The sequence below is a fragment of the Homo sapiens genome, chromosome 2 (genome assembly GCF_000001405.40).
Source record: "Homo sapiens chromosome 2, GRCh38.p14 Primary Assembly".
Classification (NCBI taxonomy): domain Eukaryota; kingdom Metazoa; phylum Chordata; class Mammalia; order Primates; family Hominidae; genus Homo; species Homo sapiens.
This window is the reverse complement of record NC_000002.12, coordinates 75,078,879-75,099,579: the sequence shown is the minus strand read 5'-3', so window position 1 is coordinate 75,099,579 and position 20,701 is coordinate 75,078,879. Positions and strand designations below refer to the sequence as shown.

Genomic DNA, 20,701 nt, shown 5'->3' with positions numbered 1-20,701 from the left:
CTGGATTCATCTCAGCCTGAGATTTTTATCAGATGAGTATCATAGAAGGAGGAAAGAGTAAGGGAATTGGAGGTGACTTGTATAGGAGTGATTAGATTGATGGACAAGGAAGGAAAGAAAACATGAAGAGTCTGAGGAATAGGAAGAAAATGTCAGGTTCAGTGAATGTGAGTTTCCACAGAGAGAATTGTAACAGCAGAGGTACTCAGGCAAGTGACTTGGGAGGATGGACATGGTATTTATGGACAGGATGTTTTAAAAAGTCATGCATATCCCAGGTGTGGCCAGGATGCAGATAACTGATGCAAAAGAGAGAAGGAGCTCACTGGAGATGAGGAGTCTCAGCACTGAGATGCCAGAGTGCTGGGTGGTCCTCCTCAAGGAGGATGAAGTCACTGGGGTGAGACAGAGGCTGGGATAGTGAGGGAGGCTCCGAGCCAGAGCTGAGGTCCTCAGTGATCAGGGAAGAGTGACCAGGAGGCTGGAGAGTGACAGCAGCAAGTGAAAAAGAAGATGTGGCAGGATATGTGCTCCTCAGAGGGGTGGCATCTGACAGGACACAAGGGGAAGTGGTCTGGAAGTGGCACGGAGGAGCAGGAGAACCCTCACTCCACCTGCTGGTTCTGAGGGGAATAAATGTGAGAGCAAGAAAAGAAAAAAAAAAAAAGCCTTAATTTGCAAGAACTACAAAGAACACATATTCTCAGGAAGCAGCCAGAGTTCTATTAAGGCTGGAATTAAAAAGAACATTCCTAAAATTTCAAGTATTGACAGGAGATTGCCTGCCACAAAGCAGGAACCCAAAGGCAGAGCAGGAGAGTTTGAGAGGAAAGTGGGAGAGACTGGGTTAGCTAATGGGACCAACCCAGAAGTTGGGGGATGAGAATCCACTCCTAGAGCAAGCTGGATGTGGTGGTGAGCAAGGCTGGTAGGGATGTGGGTTTCAGGGACTGAAGCCTGGAAGTCTCTTAACAGATGAGAGTCGCTCACTTCAAGGCTTTGTGGTCCTCAAGGATTGGCCAATATTGAGGCAGCTATTCTCAGAGGTCTCTCTTCATCTTTCTCATCAGACAACTGCTCCCTCAGGCATCTCCAAGAAATATTTCTGGGATATTTGAGGATGAATTTTAAGGTAAAAAAGATAATTTTCTATGAAAAACTAGAAACAAACCCAATGTGCCATGATATGGTCTGGTTTGATTATGCATTAGAATATTCTATATTCTAAAATGAAAACATCTAGGACAAATTTGTGATAACATGAGAAAATGCTCATGTTATGTTTGGGTAAAAAAAGGAAACAGAACTGCAGTATGGTAATGACAATGATGTAAAAACTAAGCACTAAAAGCAATCTATGCATAGAATTGTCTTTCTTTCTTGAGAATGGAATATATCAAATTATTAAGTCTTTTTGGAGAATGAATCTGTCTCCTAGTACTTTTTTTCTCTCTGCATCTGCCCTGCATTTCTACGATCTTCAGATTTTCTATGGTATGTGTATTATTTTTTAACAGAATGTGTGGCATATTCAGCAGTGTGCCAGAGCCAGCTGGCAAAAGCCAACTGTGCACATCTCTTCCCAACTCCATGTTCAGTGACATCACATTGTATTTTGAAATTGTAATTAGCTATAACCCAAGTATTGACACCACAGAATGCTACAAACTGGGGATGTTTTTCTTTTCAAAGAGCCAAGTGTTACCAGCATACCACTGGCCTTGTACTACCACCAGGAACAGGTAAGGATTGGAGAGACCAAATGCTCCATTTGTCCTTACCTTAATGCAGATCCCTAGGGAGGAGAGAAATCACTTGTTCACATTTCAGCTGAGCAAGAGAAAAAAACAAAATATCTCTTGGATTTAAAGAGTAAATAATAGTTGCCTCAAGTTTGGGTGACCCTGGGCATGGACAGTGGTCAGATGCTCACCCCAAGACTGAGAATAGGAAGGGTGCCTGAGACTGGCTTAGCCTCCCACAGTCTTCTGTGATGACTCTTCTGTGATGATCTGTCACTGTCATTACTTTTAACATGTTGAGCCCCATGATTTTGCCACCTATTTAAAAAGATCCAGGTTGTCTCTAATCCTGAATGTGCCATTTATTAGGTAAGAGAAAGTTTAGGTCAAGTCTCCAAATACTTATGTACTTTACAGAACAGAAATAGTTTCACCACCTACAGTAGGAAAAAAAAAAAACTAATGAAGAAATGGTGTTGCTGAAAACCCAGAGTGGGAAAGGATCAAAGAAATGTTAGCAAGTTATTTCACCTAGTTCCTTCATTGTAGAACATTTTTTAAGTACTGTGTACCTACTCAGAACAAAAGACTGAAAAAAAACACTTCGCTATCTTTATTTGACCACATTTATCACTCCCATGAAAAATTAATTGACTGTTTAATTGTGGTCAGAAGGCACCTACTTCTATTCTTCCCACCAAATGCACAAGGAAATGGGGAACTTGGGCTAGTCTCTCAGAAGTGCATGTGGTAAAGAGGAGAGAAAAATAATACTTAACTTTATGAGGCAACATGCTATAGTAATGTCATTTTCCAGGATACAAGAGACTTGAACACATTATCTGACTGAATGATGGAAGTACTGGAAGATACAAGAGAGATAGGGGTTGACTGTTGGAGCAAAGTCCTGAAAGAGGTGTAATAGAATGGGGTGTGAGCCCACATGGAGGGTTTGGCCCTGGGTCTGAGGAGGATCTCATCTTCCACTGAAGCAAGAGAGAAGAATGAGTGGATGTGCAGAGGTAAAGAGAGAAGTTGAGATACCTATGTTGGAAGCTCTCAATATTCTCAGTGAAGTGGGAGGCAAGGTCACTGACAGAAAGAAGTGAGAAGGTTCTGGAATGTATACCATAAACAACATGGGAGGGTGTAGTAAGGCCCCAGCTGAACCAGTTTTACAGCTATGCATTCATGATAACAAACAAAATCCAGATATTTGCAAAGCTCTAAATATGTACCAAAGTGTCGTTTACACATCTGCTCTCTATTTGCACAATAGCCCTGTACAATACAAAGTGCAATTATCATATCCAATCTTATATTAAGAATACAACACAAAGTGATCAAGAAATTTACCCCAATACACACAATTAAATTTATCCATCACACAACTGGTGATGCCAGGATTTAAATCCAGATCTTCCAAATCCAAATCTGGCACCCTTTCATGCTACCAGGGCATTTTCAAACTGGACTCTGAGTTGCATGGGGAGTTCTAAGGAGCCTCCACTGGGACTGGCTGATGTTTAGGGAGAGCAGAGGGGCCCTGCTTCCACTTCAGTATAGCTCTTCTTTTCAAACTTGTTAACCCAACCACTCCAAGATGTTCAAAGAGCAGCACAGGCCAAAGGCTGGTATCCAGAGGAAAGGAGAGGGATTTCATGAGTTTTACAATCAACTGCTCTCCCCAGTGCCCAAAAGAGCACTGCAGAATCTGATTGCTTCACAGATGAAGAGGACTTGACTTTGTACATGTCCCCTTTTGTACAAAGTTGCCCCTCACTGCCTCCACTATTTCTCACCTTGATCCTAAGCCTTAGAGGCTGTCAAAATAGTTGCTCTAACAAAATAATCCAAAACCCCAGATCCTTGTCACAACAAAACTTTATTTCTCACTCACAGTGTAAGTCCCGCCCAGGCCAGGAGAATCTTTCTCCTTAGTCAGGAACTTAGGTGATGGAGGCTCTGCCATCTTGTAGCTGTACCACCTGGAGCATCTAGAAGGGCACACAGAAGGGACAGGGGGATGGACGAAGCATCCTAAGGGGACTTGACTGGAAGTGATGCCTCACTTCTGCTCACATACCCACTTGCCAGAGTCAGTCAACTAACTATAATGAAGACCAGTCATGAGGGAGAGCTCCTGGATATTAGGCGAGCGCTAATTCTCCTGACCCAAAAGCCCCTGTCCTGAGGGTAAGCCCAGCTTCTTTACCTAAGCATTTAAGGCCTTTCCTACTTTGACAGAATGAGTCCATCCAACAGTGCCCACTTTTGCAAAACTGATCCATTCGTGCCAGTGCTTAAACCTCAGCCCCTGCTTTCTTCCCTCTCGAAACGCCCTCCCTCCATGCTGATCCAACCCTACCCTTCTCCAAGATTTAGATCAATATCACCTCTTCTGTGAGGTTGTCCAGACTCCTTACCCTCCAGTGAATTCCCTCCTCTAATGGAGGCTGTGGAAAGAGAGCAGTATACAATGCTAGCATCTCTGGCTGATTACCTGAAGGCTGACCAAAATATGAACTGGGTTACAGCCACGAAAATTAAAATCATGTGCGGGTGTGCCACCACCCAAGTGTGCACCCTCAGGGAGAGTGAAGGAACAAGAAAAGGGTGAAATCCAGCCACATGTCCACTTCCTCAGCCAGGGTGACTCAAAGCAGTTAAACAGATACCAGACATTTTCAGAAAGCTTACCATGTACTAAACACAGGAACAGACCCTATGGAAGAACCAAGGGACACAATTCCCCGCCCTTGCCCTCATGGAGAGGATCACAGAGCATGACTCTCACTCCATCCTCACTCCCAGTCAGTGGTCAAGTTCTGTTGATCCTCAGAGGACTCTCATACTTACTGTAGCTTCTCTATCCTAAAGGCTACTGCTGTGAGTGAATTCCTCATCATTGCTAATCTGAATGATTCCAGTCATATTCTAGCTGTTCTCTTTGCCATCTTGGGCAAAAAAAAAAAAAATATATATATATATATATATATGTTTCTGCTTCCTCAGCTTGCAATTTCCATTCCCACAAACTCTGCATATTGAAATTCTTGCCCATCCTTGAACGCTGAATGCAAATGGCACATCTCTCATCACTACCACTGCCACCACCTTCACTGCTGCCACCACCATTTCCACCACTTCCTCACCTCCACCACCTCCACCTCTATCACCACCATCATCATCACCACCACCATCATGTCCATCTCCACCACTACCACCATCACTACCACCAATGCAACCACTGCCATTATCACCACAAGCACCACAACTCACTGTCTTGGAGAACCCTCACTACAGAAGGGTTTGAGAATCACAAACTATGTAGACTTGACATTCTGTAAATGTTGTTTGCCTTAAGAGGCCAGCTACCATGCAGGGAGACTTCAAAGACCACTGTGGTCCCTGGACTACAGTGAATACCCCTCCTAGTGATAAACAATTTCATGGCGCCTGGAAAAATCAAGGAAATGAAGCTTTGGTTCTATTTTCTTAATACTTTACCCGACGAAATTCCATAGCCTACTTACTTCTCTTTATTTTAATTCAAAGAGTATTTATGGAACATTTAATCTGGACCTGGAACAATGCTTTAACTCTCTTGTTTATTCAACTTTATCCCTTCCATTTAGAAAACTGTAGAGCTTTTTTCCCCATGGCATCCTATAATTAAATCAGCACCAACAGCATTGTCATCATCCACTCACAAATATGTTTTCAAGAGCTATTTGCATGTGGTGCTATCTGCACATGGGACAGAGTATCTTAAACAAAACTACGAAAACGTGGTGTCAGGTAAGAGCACTAAACTGTTCAGAGTTCAAAGACTCAGCTTCTAGCCCTGGCTTTGCCTCTAACATGCTGTGTGACCTGAGTACATCTGTGCTTCTCTGTGGGCCTGTTTCCTCACATGTAGAAAGAGAGAGCCTCTTAAACGAGATCAATTCTAATACCCCAGGATTCTAAGGCAAAAACACTCAGCTTTGTCTTGTTACCCCACAGGTAAATCCAGTTATCAATGGAATAGCCATGAAACTTTTCCGTTTAAAATGCCTAACAGCATTCTTATGCTTAATAAGAATAATATATATTATTCTTATTTATAAATGACTATCTGCCAAACAGCCTATATGGTTGGTTGCTGAAGTGTTACAAATCAAACAGAATGTGCTAGTTGTAACCCCACAAAGACTTAAAACAGCACCCAACCAAATACAAGGCAGGGAGCTCCTGCAGTCTACGCAGATGGGTGGGCTCAGGGGCTGCAGACTCCTGTCTACTTCACAGATGTTAAAGCCTTTGTCCTCAATGCTCACCCATAACGTTTCATTAGTGTCTATAACCTGTGCAGCCTGGAGTTTGTTGAGAATTCCACAGGGGAGATTAGCAGTAGATCACACTCATTCTGCTCCAAGTTGACTGATGGAGAAAATCTAGCTAAGAGAGCAAGGCTTACAGCTGTCACTGACAAGCCTTCTGCTTCCTTTCATTGCCCAGCCTCTAATTCCTGAGATCTGTGAAACTTTTGCTGCATAGATGCTATGCAAAGATGGAAAATTTAAATTTTTAGTGTTCAGGTATAGTCATTTTCTGCTCTGTGGAAAGTCATACAGGAGAACTGATTTGTGAAGAGAAGAAAATCAGGATTAAACATGTGTAGGCTGTTGTAAATTGTAATAATGAAACTGCAACATATTGTCACCTTCTCTCCTCTCCCCTTCTCCTTTGCACTCTTAAGGGGTCCCACTCTCAGATACACAGCCTGTTTCTCCTGTTGCCTGCCTCCCACTGGCGGATGATTAATAACTCACAAAGACATTGTAAATGAATTTAGTTTACTACACATAAAATAACTTTTCCTGTAGATAAGTAGTTGAAAACTTTTGATCAGGAATTTTCTTATTTTGATAGCTTTAATTCCATTTCTCCGTATCTTTGCAACTCTCACTGAATGGTGATCAGTGAGATTGGTCTAGTGAACCAGATTATAGAGGATCCCATGTATCTGCCCAGAAAGTAGGGTTCTGATCTTCTGGGTGAGGCAATTCCAAGTGGTCTTTGGAGGCCGCCTTACCCCTCTCCCAGGAGCTTTCACAGATGGAGTAGCTGTGAGAATCCAGTGGGGCTCTGAGTCTCCAGTCTACACTCAACCAGTGTAGAGTGACAGGTGAGCTTTGGTGGCTGGACACAGTCGGTTCAGTTATTCTGACCATAGGAGGCTCATTCCAGAGCTACTTTATCCAGTGCTAGATTTTCCTGATCCATCTATGAATCTCTTGAAAATTGTGCTACAATGTCCCCATTTCCCATTTTCTAGCATCTCTCTGAATCATTCTTCTAAGTTACCAGGTAAAGTTTTTGTTGATGAAAATGATGATGATAATGTACAAGGAAATAAAATCTTTTTTTTTAACCCCAAAGACTGCCCAAAGAGAGTAAGTCCTATTAACTGGCAGGGACTTGGTTTTCTGAGCACCACAATGCATTAAGGGTCATGAGTTTGGAAATTAAAGCTGGTGGTGTTGCATTCTGCATAATCAAGCAGGGAGGTTTTTAAAATTGGGGGAGGGATGGGAGGTAGGAACCAGTGAGGCTTAGCACCGTGTGAGGAAAGGCAACTCAGAATGTGAATATTAAGTTGTTTGCTACAGTGTATGTGATATAAACCCTCTCTTACGTCACCCTACAAGATCATCACCCTCTGCTGCTCACTAGTGTGTGTATGTGCTTTTGAGAGAACTAAATAGCATGCTGAGTTCTGCATTCAGATTTGTTTGAAACAAAAACAAACACCTCACACTGATGTTATGCCCATTTCCTCATATAAAGTTCTCCTCACAATCTTTGGAGATAGATATCGTTGTCCTTATTTAATAGATGAAGACTGTTTGTAAACTGAGGCTTACAGAACTTACATAACCTGTCCACAGCCGTACATTAGTGAGGGGAAGAACTGCTTCTTCCCCATGTGGGCTTCCTTTTGCCCAACTTCCAGCATCAAGGAGCCCCAAGAGTGCACGGCACTGCCCATACAGCAGATAAGTCACAGAGCCAACCAAGAGAATGTGAGTGAATCCCTCTTCTTAAGTTTTGGAACCCACTTCTAGAGTTCACGTCAGGTCATTTGTTGTGCCTAGGTCTGTCAGTCATGGCTAAGAGTGATATGAAAAAGTAGAAGACACAGGACAGATCAGAAAGGAGAAAGGAACACAGGCTGTGACTCAGGGTAGAATCCCAGCCCTGTTGCAATAACAGACTCACTTAAGCAAGTTGGGTTTTATAACAGTTATGAACGTTAGTTTTTCTCATCTTTAAAATGGGTATTATAGTACCTCCCTTATAGGATTATGGAAAAGATTGGAACTGACAAAGTTGAAGGGTCTACCAGGCCCTTGTGAATGAGAAATGTCATGTTATTATTGGTCATGAACCATGCTGTTAAACTGCCTGTAATCTCCTAGAATGTGAAATCTGAGGAGGTCTTGAACATCACCCAATTCAACTCCTTATCTATAAAATGGAGTAAAGGAGATCCAGAATGGTTGAGTAATTTCCCGAGTTCACCATGAGTTATGGTAGAGTTAGGAGCGGAAATTCAGGGGAGATTTTTTTTTTTTTTTTTTTTTTTTTGCACCTACGAGCCCATAAGAAATTGAGGACTGCAGGAAGGAGTTCTGTGAAGCACTATAATGTGTGAGATAAAAAATTTACTCCATGAGCAATCAGAAGGAGGTAGAATTGATGCAAACCGAGCCAAGAATGAAGGTTATATCTTGATTAGAACTTGAAGGAAGAGTAGAATGCTAATGGACAGAGAGTGGCTGCCTTTTCAGATAAGGTGAGAAGTGCTGGAAGCTTAGCTAGGTGGCCCCGTTTCCACAGTGTGACTAAGAACAGACCAGTCTGAGAGATAACAGAAGCAGGGAGACCTGTATGGTCCAAGTTCAGAAGTGTCCTGAGTTATAAGCACAAGTTACTCAGGAACACTTCTGAACTGGGACCACACACTCTACTCTTCAGAGAGGATGACTTTGGGATCATAAGGGATACATTCTTGGTGACACTATGGGTCTGATGGGGAACGGTCACCACTCTTCCTTGAGAAATTTTTGTCCTAATTCTCAAAAGGTGTAAGAGAGCATACAGATTAAAAGAGTGGTGATTGGGGATGGGATAACAACTACTAGCTGACATTTGTTGCTCATTATGTGAGAAACTTGCACTTAGTTTCTTACCTACAGTTTCCAGGCTATAGGTAAATTTAAACATTTTTTGCTTGACAATTGGTTGAGTTTGTCTAAAGACTTGGGATCAATAGAAAGGAATGTTTGGTGCAATAAGAGGTTGTGGAGACCAAAGTTTTGTCATGCAGGTGAAGCTTTTAGCTAGCAGGCTTCAGAGAGAACAGGCTGTGAAATGTTTAAAGTCCGTGTTGATGTTAATGCCCCATACAGGTATGATGAGGCCTGTTCGACCCCACTTCCCTTCATGGCCTGAACCAGTCTTTCAGATTAAATTTTAAGAGCCCTGGCTGAGGAGGAAGTCTGTTTAGATGGTTGGGGGGCCTTAGAATTTTATTTTTGGTTTACAAAGTAAATTATATCATATGTTAGAAAGTGAAAAGTGCTATGGAAAGAAAAGAAAAAGCAGAACAGGATAGGAGGATGGACATTCAGGGGAGGGCACAGCAGGGAACTGCACACCCCAGCAAGATGGTCATGTCATTGAGAAGTGACCTTTGAGCAGACTTGAAGGAGGTGGGGAGTATATTTGTTTTAGCAAATGTATGTGGTAAGTCCTAACACTCTTCTTATTGGCAAAACAATGAAATACAGGCAATTAGTTGAATGGTGATGATGATGATTTTGATGAAGATTAAGATGGTAATGAGCTGCTGGTGCATTTATTTTAGTCTAGGTGGTGCTTTCCAGAAATTTGTTTGTTTGAGATTTGTAAAACCTTTGTAATGTACTATGGTTTGGCTGGGTTGAGAGGACATGGGGTGGTAGTGGTGACAAAGCCAAGACCTTCAAGCCCAGATTCCCCTTCACTGCTCCCAGTGTCTACATTAAGAATTTAAACTCTCTCAGCCTCACTTTCCTCACCTCTCACCTAAGGTACTGACAGCCTCTGCCACCAGCGCACCATGTGACTCAGCAATGTGTCCACATGGCCAAACATCTCATTTCTCTAAAACATGCAGAAGTAAAGTCTTCTACATATGATTTCACTTAATGAAAGGGCTCCACTTATTTTTTTAAAGTTTGAAACCATTGCCTTAGTCTCTAAGGTCTCTTTTAAGTCATCAGATACTTTCAAGCAAGAGTGATGACTCCCGAAAGGGTGCTCTTAACCCGCTCATGTTTAACGTAATCTCAATGGTTTGTCTTTCTGTTTTCAGAGTAAAACCCAGGAGGAGTCCAATGAAAAGTTAAGAGAAAGACATTAGGTCCACACATTTATCAGATCAAGTTTGAGCAGAGTCCTGGAGGAGGTGAGGGCAGGGGCTGCCAGTGGAGGTGGTGAGAAGTGCTATTCTTCTTGGTATATCTTTGAAGGGAGAGCTAGAAGATTTTACCAATGAAAGAAAGTTCTCATTTATGCAAAAGGCAAGTCATTCTGTACCTACTATATAAGGTCATGACAGCTATGATCTCCAGGAGATGAAGAATTCTCTACCAGTGGACTAATTTAGAGCTCTGTACCTGCCTTGCAGCCCTGTGTTCTAGGCCAAAGGGCAGCACATATGGTGAAGTTAATTGAACCTGTGTGATTCAGTTAGGGTGCGTTAAAACTAGAAACCACTATAATCAGATGGAAAAGTGCCTACATGCATCCCAAGAGAGCTTGATGCTCTCTGTGGGAAACTGTCAAACTCACAGGAGGGTGGGGGCAGCATGTGGAAAGGGAAGGAAGACAACCACACGCAGCTAAAGCAGATGAGCTGTGGGGAAGAGGGAGAAGATGTGAAATTAGAGAGAAGGAAATTGCAGGGAGTGAGGAGAATCAACCCAAGCCACGGGAATAAAGAAGGGAAGAATGATTCAAGATTCAGGGGCGAAGGGGATACCATCCCCCTTCCTTGTCACCGATCCGCCTAAACCCCCATCACCCCACACATGGTGATTGTGGTCTAAAGCACAGGGGTCTCCTCCACCTGCTAGAAGGAGGAGAGGACAGAGAAATGCCCCCTGCCATGCAGACAGCACCTGCAGGAAGCCTCCAGCAGTCTGCAGGAGGAACATAACAAACACATTTATACACTCATTCAGTGAATATTTATTGAGTCTCTAACCCTGGGATACAACAGTGAACAAAACAAACATTATCCCTCTAGCTACTTAAAACCAAGTAGTAAGCACATACTTTATATAATTATATAACCATGTTGACTATATATCATTAGCTGTGATAAGCACTTTGATAGAAAAGTTCAGGCCCTCATGACAGCAAATAAAAAGGCTGGAGATTTCAGGAGCTAAGCTTTGAGGAGTTAGCTGCGTGGAGAGGGAAGGAAGGAGGGTGTATTCCAGGCAAAGAGCACTGCAGGGCCAGGACATAAGGGTGGACAGCAGGACCTGATCAAGGACAAGAGCCAGGGCTAGCCAATGTGGCTGGAGCAGGGTGCAGAGGAGAGTGGGCTGAGTGCGGCCACAGAAGGAGCAGGAGCAGGTCAGGCAAAGCATCACTGGCTACATGGATGGTTTGAGTCTTTAACTCAAAAGAAATAGGTTGTAGTTTTCAGCTAACAAGATCCAGCTGCAAGGTAGACGTCAGCTAGAGAAATGAGGACCGAGACATGGGGGGACTACAGATGAGGGAAGTTCATTCCACCACAAAGGAGAGCTTTCCTTAGAAGGATTCCAAAAACAATCCCTTCATGCCTGCCACTGGAGGCTGAGTTCATCATCAGTGAGTAGTTCTTTATGTAATGCTATGTAGCACTTTGCCAAATACCACTAACAGCAAAGAGGCAATGAGACTCCTGAACCTGCTACAGCTGTGACAGATGTTTAAGTCTCAATATCAAAAACATTTCAAATTTTCCAAGGGGATAGACCAGTTATGTCTAAATGACTGGACTTCAGCAGGGGAAAAGTGATTAAGAAGGCAAGGAAGTGAACAGAAACCCAATTATTTACTGTTTCAAATGGCAAGAGGTGAGGGGAGTCACTGACAATGTGGAGATACAGCTGGGGAAATGTTAACTAGCACAACACGGCGTTTAATCACAGATTTCTGCTTAAAGTTGCTTGGGTTGGTGGGGCTTCCTTAGGCAAGGGTTTTAATTAGTTTCAAGTTTACACTTCTACAGCCTTTCTTAATAGTAAGTTCTGTCAAATGTGCATGGTGAATGATGATTGTTGTTTGCAACCATCTATTAATGGTGTCTTCCAAACACTCCAGAGAGAAAAGCACTTTTTGCAAAGGGAGGTTTGCAGAAGTTTATCACTGGTAGTCTTTGGGGAAGAACTACTGGGATATCTTCTACTGGATCTGTTACCAGGTCATCTTACTTCAACATTCTAGACCAGCACTGTCAATATAAATAACATGCAAACTACAAATGCAAGATGCAAGTGGAATTTTTAATTTTCTAGTAGCCACATTTCTTAACGTACAAATGAGTGAAACAAATTTTAAGAGTATATATTGTTGAACCTATATATCCATAGTAGTATCATTTCAACATGTTACCCATATAAAAAGTATGAATGACATATTTTCTATTCTTTGGGTATAGGTGTGAGTGTGGGTGTGTACTTGTCTTCAAAATTCAATGTGTATTTTAAACTTACAGCACAGGTCAATTGGACCAGCCACATTTCAAGGCTCATTGGCCACATGTGGCTACCATATTGGGCAAGATGGGTCTAAACAGTGATGATTTCTCTTACCAGATTGAAGATTTCACATTTTATTGAAAGGTGAAAGTCATTGTCACATTGACAATGACTCTCAAAATCCCCACTGCTAGGAAATATGACCTAAGAGTACCTGAATCTGACACTGTCATCACAAACTCAGAGGCCAAAGTTGAATTAAACATTCTCTCTCTTTTGAAACTTCCCCATTTCCGATTATCATCCTTATTTTTGGATTCCATTTGCAATAATTTAGTCCCTTTTATTATTCCTTTGAAGTGTCTCTCATATCCATCCTTCCCCTACACTGCCAAAACCTTGACCAGGCCCTTTTCCTCACATATGGACCATTGAAATAGCATCATAATCCCCCATTTCACAAAATCAGGCTTGCTTCCTCTTGGAGATATAGTACAATGGACTGGGTGTATGAGACTCCCCAACCTGGTTCATTCATTCAGTCAGTCAGTCAGTCAGTAAATATTTATTGAGTGTCCACTGTGTGCCAAGTACTGCACTTGGACCTGAGAATAATTTGCACTTTATAAAACAGGCATGATAAATCTTACAAGACAGTTGTCTTATCTCAGTGATAAGTAATTTAAAATTCTGTTTTAAGACATGCAAAAACATATCATGGACTAGAATATAAAATCTGCATGAAGTTTTTAGATAAAACAAGAGATTTTATATAAATGTCTAGACTTGACATGCATAGCCTAGGGCTATGCTCTCAGTCTCCCCAGAGGATACACATTCCCAGTTCCTCTGCTGTGAGAAGCAACTTTCCTGGAAAAGTTTGAGGAGACCAATAATTGTTCCTCCTCTTCCATTTTCTCTCTCCTCAACCCAAACAACACAGAACTGTTAAGATGACCTTGTTACAGCCCAGTTTCATAGTCACTTTGGGTTTAACTGAAGAGCTCTTGATCTCTGGGAACTTCTAAGAACATGAAACTAATACTCCAGAAACTATTACTTTCATAATTAAATTCTATACTGGGTAGTGCCAACTAATCTACGGTGTCACATACAATAGCTTCTCTAAAAATACTGGTGCATACTAGTGGTGTACATAAAGAATTCCAGAGGGGATCAGAGAAAGAGAATGAGTTTATGGAATGAGGAAATCTGAAAATGTTCTAACAAGTGAGTAGAGCTTCAATAAGATATGAAAAAAGGGTGGGAATTTAACCCCAGGGAAGAGTAGGGAGAGTGGTTGGGACTGGAAGGAATCAAAAGTGACTGACTCCAGCCAGGTCACCGTTATTACCCTCATTATCTCCCAGACATTGCTCAGTCATTCACATGCCTTGGAATTCCTTCCCAACCCAACAGCTAGCTCAAGGCAAAAGTCAGATCCCACCTCCTCAAATCCTCCATGATATTTGCCGTTAATTTCAGTAAGAATTAACTTTCTCCCAATCTTAATATTCTGAAGTATAAGTAATAAACATGCAACAATCTTTTGCAAGATTGGAGAGTAACTACTTCCTCCAGTGCGATTGCGCTAGGACCAATGGGTTTATATGCCCATTGCGCAGTAACAGACCAATTCCACTGAGACAGAAGTGGCAGAGAAAGAGAAATGATTGCAGGACACCAAGTGAGGAGATGGGAGAAGATCCTCAAATTTATCTCCCCAAGGAGTTCTGGGCTGGGTTTTTTAGGAGATCATGGAGGGTAAGGGGCTGGAAAATTGGGGGTGTTGATTGGTTGGAGTAAGGGGGATAAAATCAGCTTCTGACAGGCAAACTTCTTTGGACCTTGTGATGCAGCAACTGCCCAAGGTGATGCATCGGCTTAAGAAATGTTGGTTTCTCCCAACGAGAACAAAGACACAACATACCAGAATCTCTGGGACACATTTAAAGCAGTGTGTAGAGGGAAATTTATAGCACTAAATGCCCACAAGAGAAAGCAGGAAAGATCTAAAATTGACACCATAACATCACAATTAAAAGAACTAGAGAAGCAAGAGCAAACACATTCAAAAGCTAGCAGAAGGCAAGAAATAACTAAGATCAGAGCGGAACTGAAGGAGATAGAGACATAAAAAAATCTTCAAATAATCAATGAATCCAGGAGCTAATTTTCTGAAAAGATTGACAAAACTGATAGACCACTAGCAAGACTAATAAAAAAGAAAAGAGAGAAGAATCAAATAGACTAATTAAAAAATGATAAAGGGGATATCACCACCAATCCCACAGAAATACAAACTACCATCAGAGAATACTATAAACACCTCTACACAAATAAACTAGAAAATCTAGAAGAAATGGATAAATTCCTCGACACATACACCCTCCCAAGACTAAACCAGGAAGAAGTTGAATCTCTGAATAGACCAATAACAGGCTCTGAAATTAAGGCAATAATTAATAGCTTACCAACCAAAAAAAGTCCAGGACCAGACGGACTCACAGCCGAATTCTACCAGAGGTACAAGGAGGAGCTGGTACCATTCCTTCTGAAACTATTCCAAACAATAGAAAAAGAGGGAATCCTCCCTAACTCATTTTATGAGGCCAACATCATCCTGATACCAAAGCCTGGAAGAGACACAACCAAAAAAGAGAATTTTAGACCAATATCCCTGATGAACATTGATGCGAAAATCCTCAATAAAATACTGGCAAACCGAATCCAGCAGCACATCAAAAAGCTTATCCACCACGATCAAGTGGGCTTCATCCCTGGGATGCAAGGCTGGTTCAATAGATGCAAATCAATAAATGTAATCCAGCATATAAACAGAACCAATGACAAAAACCACATGATTATCTCAATAGATGCAGAAAAGGCCTTCAACAAAATTCAACAGCCCTTCATGCTAAAAACTCTCAATAAATTAGGTATTGATGGGACATATCTCAAAATAATAAGAGCTATTTATGACAAACCCACAGCCAATAGCATACTGAATGGGCAAAAACTGGAAGCATTCCCTTTGAAAACTGGCACAAGACAGGGATGCCCTCTCTCACCACTCCTATTCAACATAGTGTTGGAAGTTCTGGCCAGGGCAATCAGGCAGGAGAAAGAAATAAAGGGTATTCAATTAGGAAAAGAGGAAGTCAAATTGTCCCTGTTTGCAGATGACATGATTGTATATCTAGAAAACCCCATGGTCTCAGCCCAAAATCTCCTTAAGCTGATAAGCAACTTCAGCAAAGTCTCAGGATGCAAAATCAATGTGCAAAAATCACAAGCATTCTTATACACCAATAACAGACAAACAGAGAGCCAAATCATGAGTGAATTCCCATTCACAATTGCTTCAAAGAGAATAAAATACCTAGGAATCCAACTTACAAGGGAAGTGAAGGACCTCTTCAAGGAGAACTACAAACCACTGCTCAAGGAAATAAAAGAGGATACAAACAAATGGAAGAACATTCCATGCTCATGGATAGGAAGAATCAATATCACGAAAATGGCCATACTGCCCAAGGTAATTTATAGATTCAATGCCATTCCCATCAAGCTACCAATGACTTTCTTCACAGAATTGGAAAAAACTACTCTAAAGTTCATATGGAACCAAAAAAGAGCCCACATTGCCAAGTCAATCCTAAGCCAAAAGAACAAAGCTGGAGGCATCACGCTACCTGACTTCAAACTATACTACAAGGCTACAGTAACCAAAACAGCATGGTACTGGTACCAAAACAGAGATATAGATCAATGGAACAGAACACAGCCCTCAGAAATAATACCACACATCTACAACCATCTGATCTTTGACAAACCTGACAAAAACAAGAAATGGGAAAAGGATTCCCTATTTAACAAATGGTGCTGGGAAAACTAGCTAGCCATATGTAGAAAACTGAAACCGGATCCCTTCCTTACACCTTATACAAAAATTAATTCACGATGGATTAAAGACTTAAATGTTAGACCTAAAACCATAAAAACCCTAGAAGAAAACCTAGGCAATACCATTCAGGACATAGGCATGGGCAAGGACTTCATGACTAAAACACCAAAAGCAATGGCAACAAAAGCCAAAATTGACAAATGGGATCTAATTAAACTAAAGAGCTTCTGCACAGCAAAAGAAACTACCATCAGAGTGAATAGGCAACCTACAGAATGGGAGAAAATTTTTGCAATCTACTCATCTGACAAAGGGCTAATATCCAGAATCTACAATGAACTCAAACAAATTTACAAGAAAAAAACAAACAACCCCATCAAAAAGTGCATGAAGGATATGAAAAGACACTTCTCAAAAGAAGACATTTATGCAGCCAAAAGACACATGAAAAAATGCTCACCATCACTGGCCATCAGAGAAATGCAAATCAAAACCACAATGAGATATCATCTCACACCAGTTAGAATGGCAATCATTAAAAAGTCAGGAGACAACAGGTGCTGGAGAGGATGTGGAGAAATAGGAACACTTTTACACTGTTGGTGGGACTGTAAACTAGTTCAACCATTGTGGAAGACAGTGTGGCGATTCCTCAGGGATCTAGAACTGGAAATACCATTTGACCCAGCCATCCCATTACTGGGTATATACCCAAAGGAATATAAATCATGCTGCTATAAAGACACATGCACACGTATGTTTATTGTGGCACTACTCACAATAGCAAAGACTTGGAACCAACCAACCCAAATGTCCATAAATGATAGACTGGATTAAGAAAATGTGGCACATATACACCATGGAATACTATGCAGCCATAAAAAAGGATGAGTTCATGTCCTTTGTAGGGACATGGAGGAAGCTGGAAACCATCACTCTCAGCAAACTATCACAAGGACAAAAAACCAAACACTGCATGTTCTCACTCATAGATGGGAATTGAACAATGAGAACACTTGGACACAGGAAGGGAAACATCATACCCCAGAGCCTGTTGTGGGGTGCGGGGAGTGGGGAGGGATAACATTAGGAGATATACCTAATGTAAATGACGAGTTAATGGGTGCAGCACACCAACATAGCACATGTATACATATGTAACAAACCTGCATGTTGTGCACATGTACCCTAGAATTTAAAGTATAATAAAAAATACATATATATATTTAAAAAAAAAAAAAAGAAATGTTGGTTTCTCCCTTCTACAAGCTACTGTAGCACTCAGACCTATAACTAACATTTGCAAGTCAGAAACAAGAGCAGAGTCTGCATATCATCTCTAAATATTTAAGTTATAGGTCATGCTAATAAATGATGAATTAAAATCTCTATCCCTTACCTTGAAAAACATGCATTAATGTGGACCTGGAGGCCAGATTTGAACCCCTGGACTCCTTGGAATTATTTGTGGAAACTTGCCCTTGCAGGACAATGCAGCCCATAGCTCTCATCCTGGCCCACTTTCTTTTCCACCCCTCCCTGACTCTGCCCCCAACCTAGAGGGGTCTTATACATGTGACACCCCAATCTCTACATCCAGGTTATTTTCACCCTTTGGCTACCCCTAAGGCAAAAAGAGCAGGATGGTCCACCCTTGGAGAGACTAATCCAATGGAAGAGGCTCACACAGGCCCTAGAAGAGGCTCCAGGGAATTTCAGCATCCCCTGTCTAACAGCATAATGAGGGTAGAGGGTTCTTGGTCCTGCAGATTTTTCACCATATGGTGGTGGGCTGGTCATGGAAGAGCCTTCGTGGGACCCCTGTATCACAGGACCAAGGACAGGAACCCCTCTTGCCTTCATATAAAGGTAGGCCTGGCAGCACTAATACACGCCCGTTATACAATTTTTTGTTAATTATTATACAGTCTTGTTTTGTTTACTAATTTACATCGTGTTTCTATATTCAAAGTGATTTCCCCCAGGGCAGGCCTGGCTCTTCTTTTGTATTCCTCCTAGCACCTCTGGTGTGGTGAATTGAGAGGCTGATGCATTGATTGGCATGCCCATTTTTCTCTCGAGCAGTCTGCCATAGGGCCTGGAATTATAGCAATTTCCCAGTTGGTTTTGTAAAAATAATCCTTCCCTCACTCTTCCTGACTCATTCATCCATTCTCATTCTGTCTTTTCTATTTCCTTATCTAATTTCTACCCACGGCTTCCTTCCTTCCAATTATCCCCATCCCAGGTGGAGATGGTTTAAGAAGTATTTCTTTTGTATGTGCTAATCTATCAGCTAATAGGGTAATAACTGAGTAATAATTACATCAACAACAATAATATTTGGGTGCATTTTTTAACTTTCCTAAGTATTTTCACACCAGTTATTTCTATATATCCTCACAACAGGCCTGGGAAGTAGGCAATGGATCTGCTAACCCTGCCTGGAAATAGGAAAGGATAAAAGACTTATTTAAGCTCATGAGATTGGTGAATAGAAGAGCTTGAATGAAGGCTCTGATCTTCTGTCCTCTGTAGTTAGGTGATTTCCCCCTAAACCAAGTGATGGCTCTAGACATCAGGTTCCTAAGCCAGTTAATAATGCTCTTATATAATGGGCAATTCAATATGTTTCCAAAGTTCTGATCTAGGAAGACTATAAAATCTAACTATAACTGACCCAATGGGACAGTGATTGTGGGAATAAAAAATCCAGATAAATAGCTATTTTTGAGCATACCAATGGCGATAGATGCTCAAGTGAAGAGATGATGGTTGTGTGTGTATGCCTGCATGTGTGTGTGCATGTGTGTTGTCATGCATGTGCTTTGTGTGAGTTCTGCCTCTTGAAGAGCCAACCTTTTTCCAGGACGGAGTGACTGAGCACTGCATTTCTCTTCCTCAGCACATTTCAAAGGGACGTTTAGCATTCACCCCTTTGAAATGTGCATTATACTCTTTTAAATATTTACACCAACTTAATTAGAAAGTTCTAGTTGCATTTAGATTTCTAATTTCAGTAACAATTAACCTTATCTCAATCTTACTATCTCGAAGTATAAGTAATAGATATATAATAACCTTTTGCAAGATTGGAGGGTAACTGCTTCTAGTGCTATGATCTGTGGACAGAACAACTTAATTATTTCAAAATTAGTTTCTGCCAAACTTCTCTGTACCTTGTGATGCAGCAACCTGCCCAGAGTGACACAGCTGCTGAGGCAGTATGGTGGTTTCTCCACCTGCAGTCTTTCTTTCTTCCCCAGATAACTCCAAAGACCAACATGGGATCAATACTCCAGAACATTGTTACGACTGGTTTAACCCCCTGCAGAGCAATCTCTCAGAGGATGAATGGAAATGACTCATTCCAGAGTGAGACCAAAAAAAAAAAAAAAAAAAAAGGCATTAGGTTTAGATGCACAGTTTGGACTTTTCCTGAGATGTAAATGAATCCAGTTTGAACACAGAGGGTGAAGTGGGGGAACCTTCAAGAGAAAGAATAAATATGGAACAAGTGAAATCAAGGAGGCAGAAAATCACAAGGTATTTTTGGCAACAAATTGTCCATGGTGCCTGGAGATAGCACTGGGTACCACTGGTGTAGGGTTACATTAGGAGGGAAATCAAGAAAGACAGACTGGGCATGGTGGGGCTACCAGTGGACAGCAGGGAGGACACCACAGGCAGCAGCACTGGCCCAAGTGCCAAATTTAACACTTTAACCAGTAGAAAGTAACTGGGTTTGGGGAATAGAAATCTGGCACGAATGGGGAAGATGGGTTGGAAGGGAGAAAGACTACACACAGAGAGACATGCTCAGGAAACTTATTATAGTAGCTCATTCAAAATGATAGCAACCCTACAGCAGCGGCCATGTGTTGGACAGGAAGGGAAGTATATGAAAGAGAGAGTGAAAAGCTGTCACATGGAAGAGGCATGGGACTTACTTTGGGTTGCTCCAGAGAGCAAAATTAGGACAAATGAATGGAAGGGATGTGAAGGTATATCATGTGGCTTCTATATAAAGGCAACTTCAGGAATAATTACTCCTGGAAATTAATGGTATAGGCTGCCTGGTGAGGTGGTGAGCTCCCCAGCACTGGTAGGACCTCAAGCACAGACAGGATTTTGATGTTTCGATGTGTTTGCCAGAGTGTATGTTTACTTTACCTGAACTTGAGAATATTTTGTCATATTTTTCCCTTAAAATACTGAGACTCTTCAGGATTTGTGACTAGATGGAGAGTGAGTAGGAAAAG

General features: G+C 41.6%; 1 protein-coding gene and 1 non-coding gene across 3 annotated transcripts in view, besides 1 other annotated feature; one reads left to right on the top strand and one right to left on the bottom strand.

The window, feature by feature from the left end:
- TACR1 (tachykinin receptor 1) overlaps window positions 1-20,701 on the top strand; it is a 153,058-nt gene that overhangs the window by 99,941 nt on the left and 32,416 nt on the right. The gene's annotated exons all lie outside the window — the stretch shown is intronic.
- Window positions 6,831-7,035: a silencer, noted in NCBI's record as "fragment chr2:75319672-75319876 (GRCh37/hg19 assembly coordinates)". NCBI's record gives its function as "represses an EF-1alpha promoter that drives an FKBP-Casp9 reporter gene in an ReSE screen in K562 erythroleukemia cells {active_cell/tissue: K562}" and the evidence as "EXISTENCE:reporter gene assay evidence [ECO:0000049][PMID:32094911]".
- On the bottom strand, window positions 8,666-8,768 carry MIR5000 (microRNA 5000). Its single transcript, NR_049796.1, has one exon. It is a non-coding gene; the product is annotated as a microRNA 5000 (primary transcript).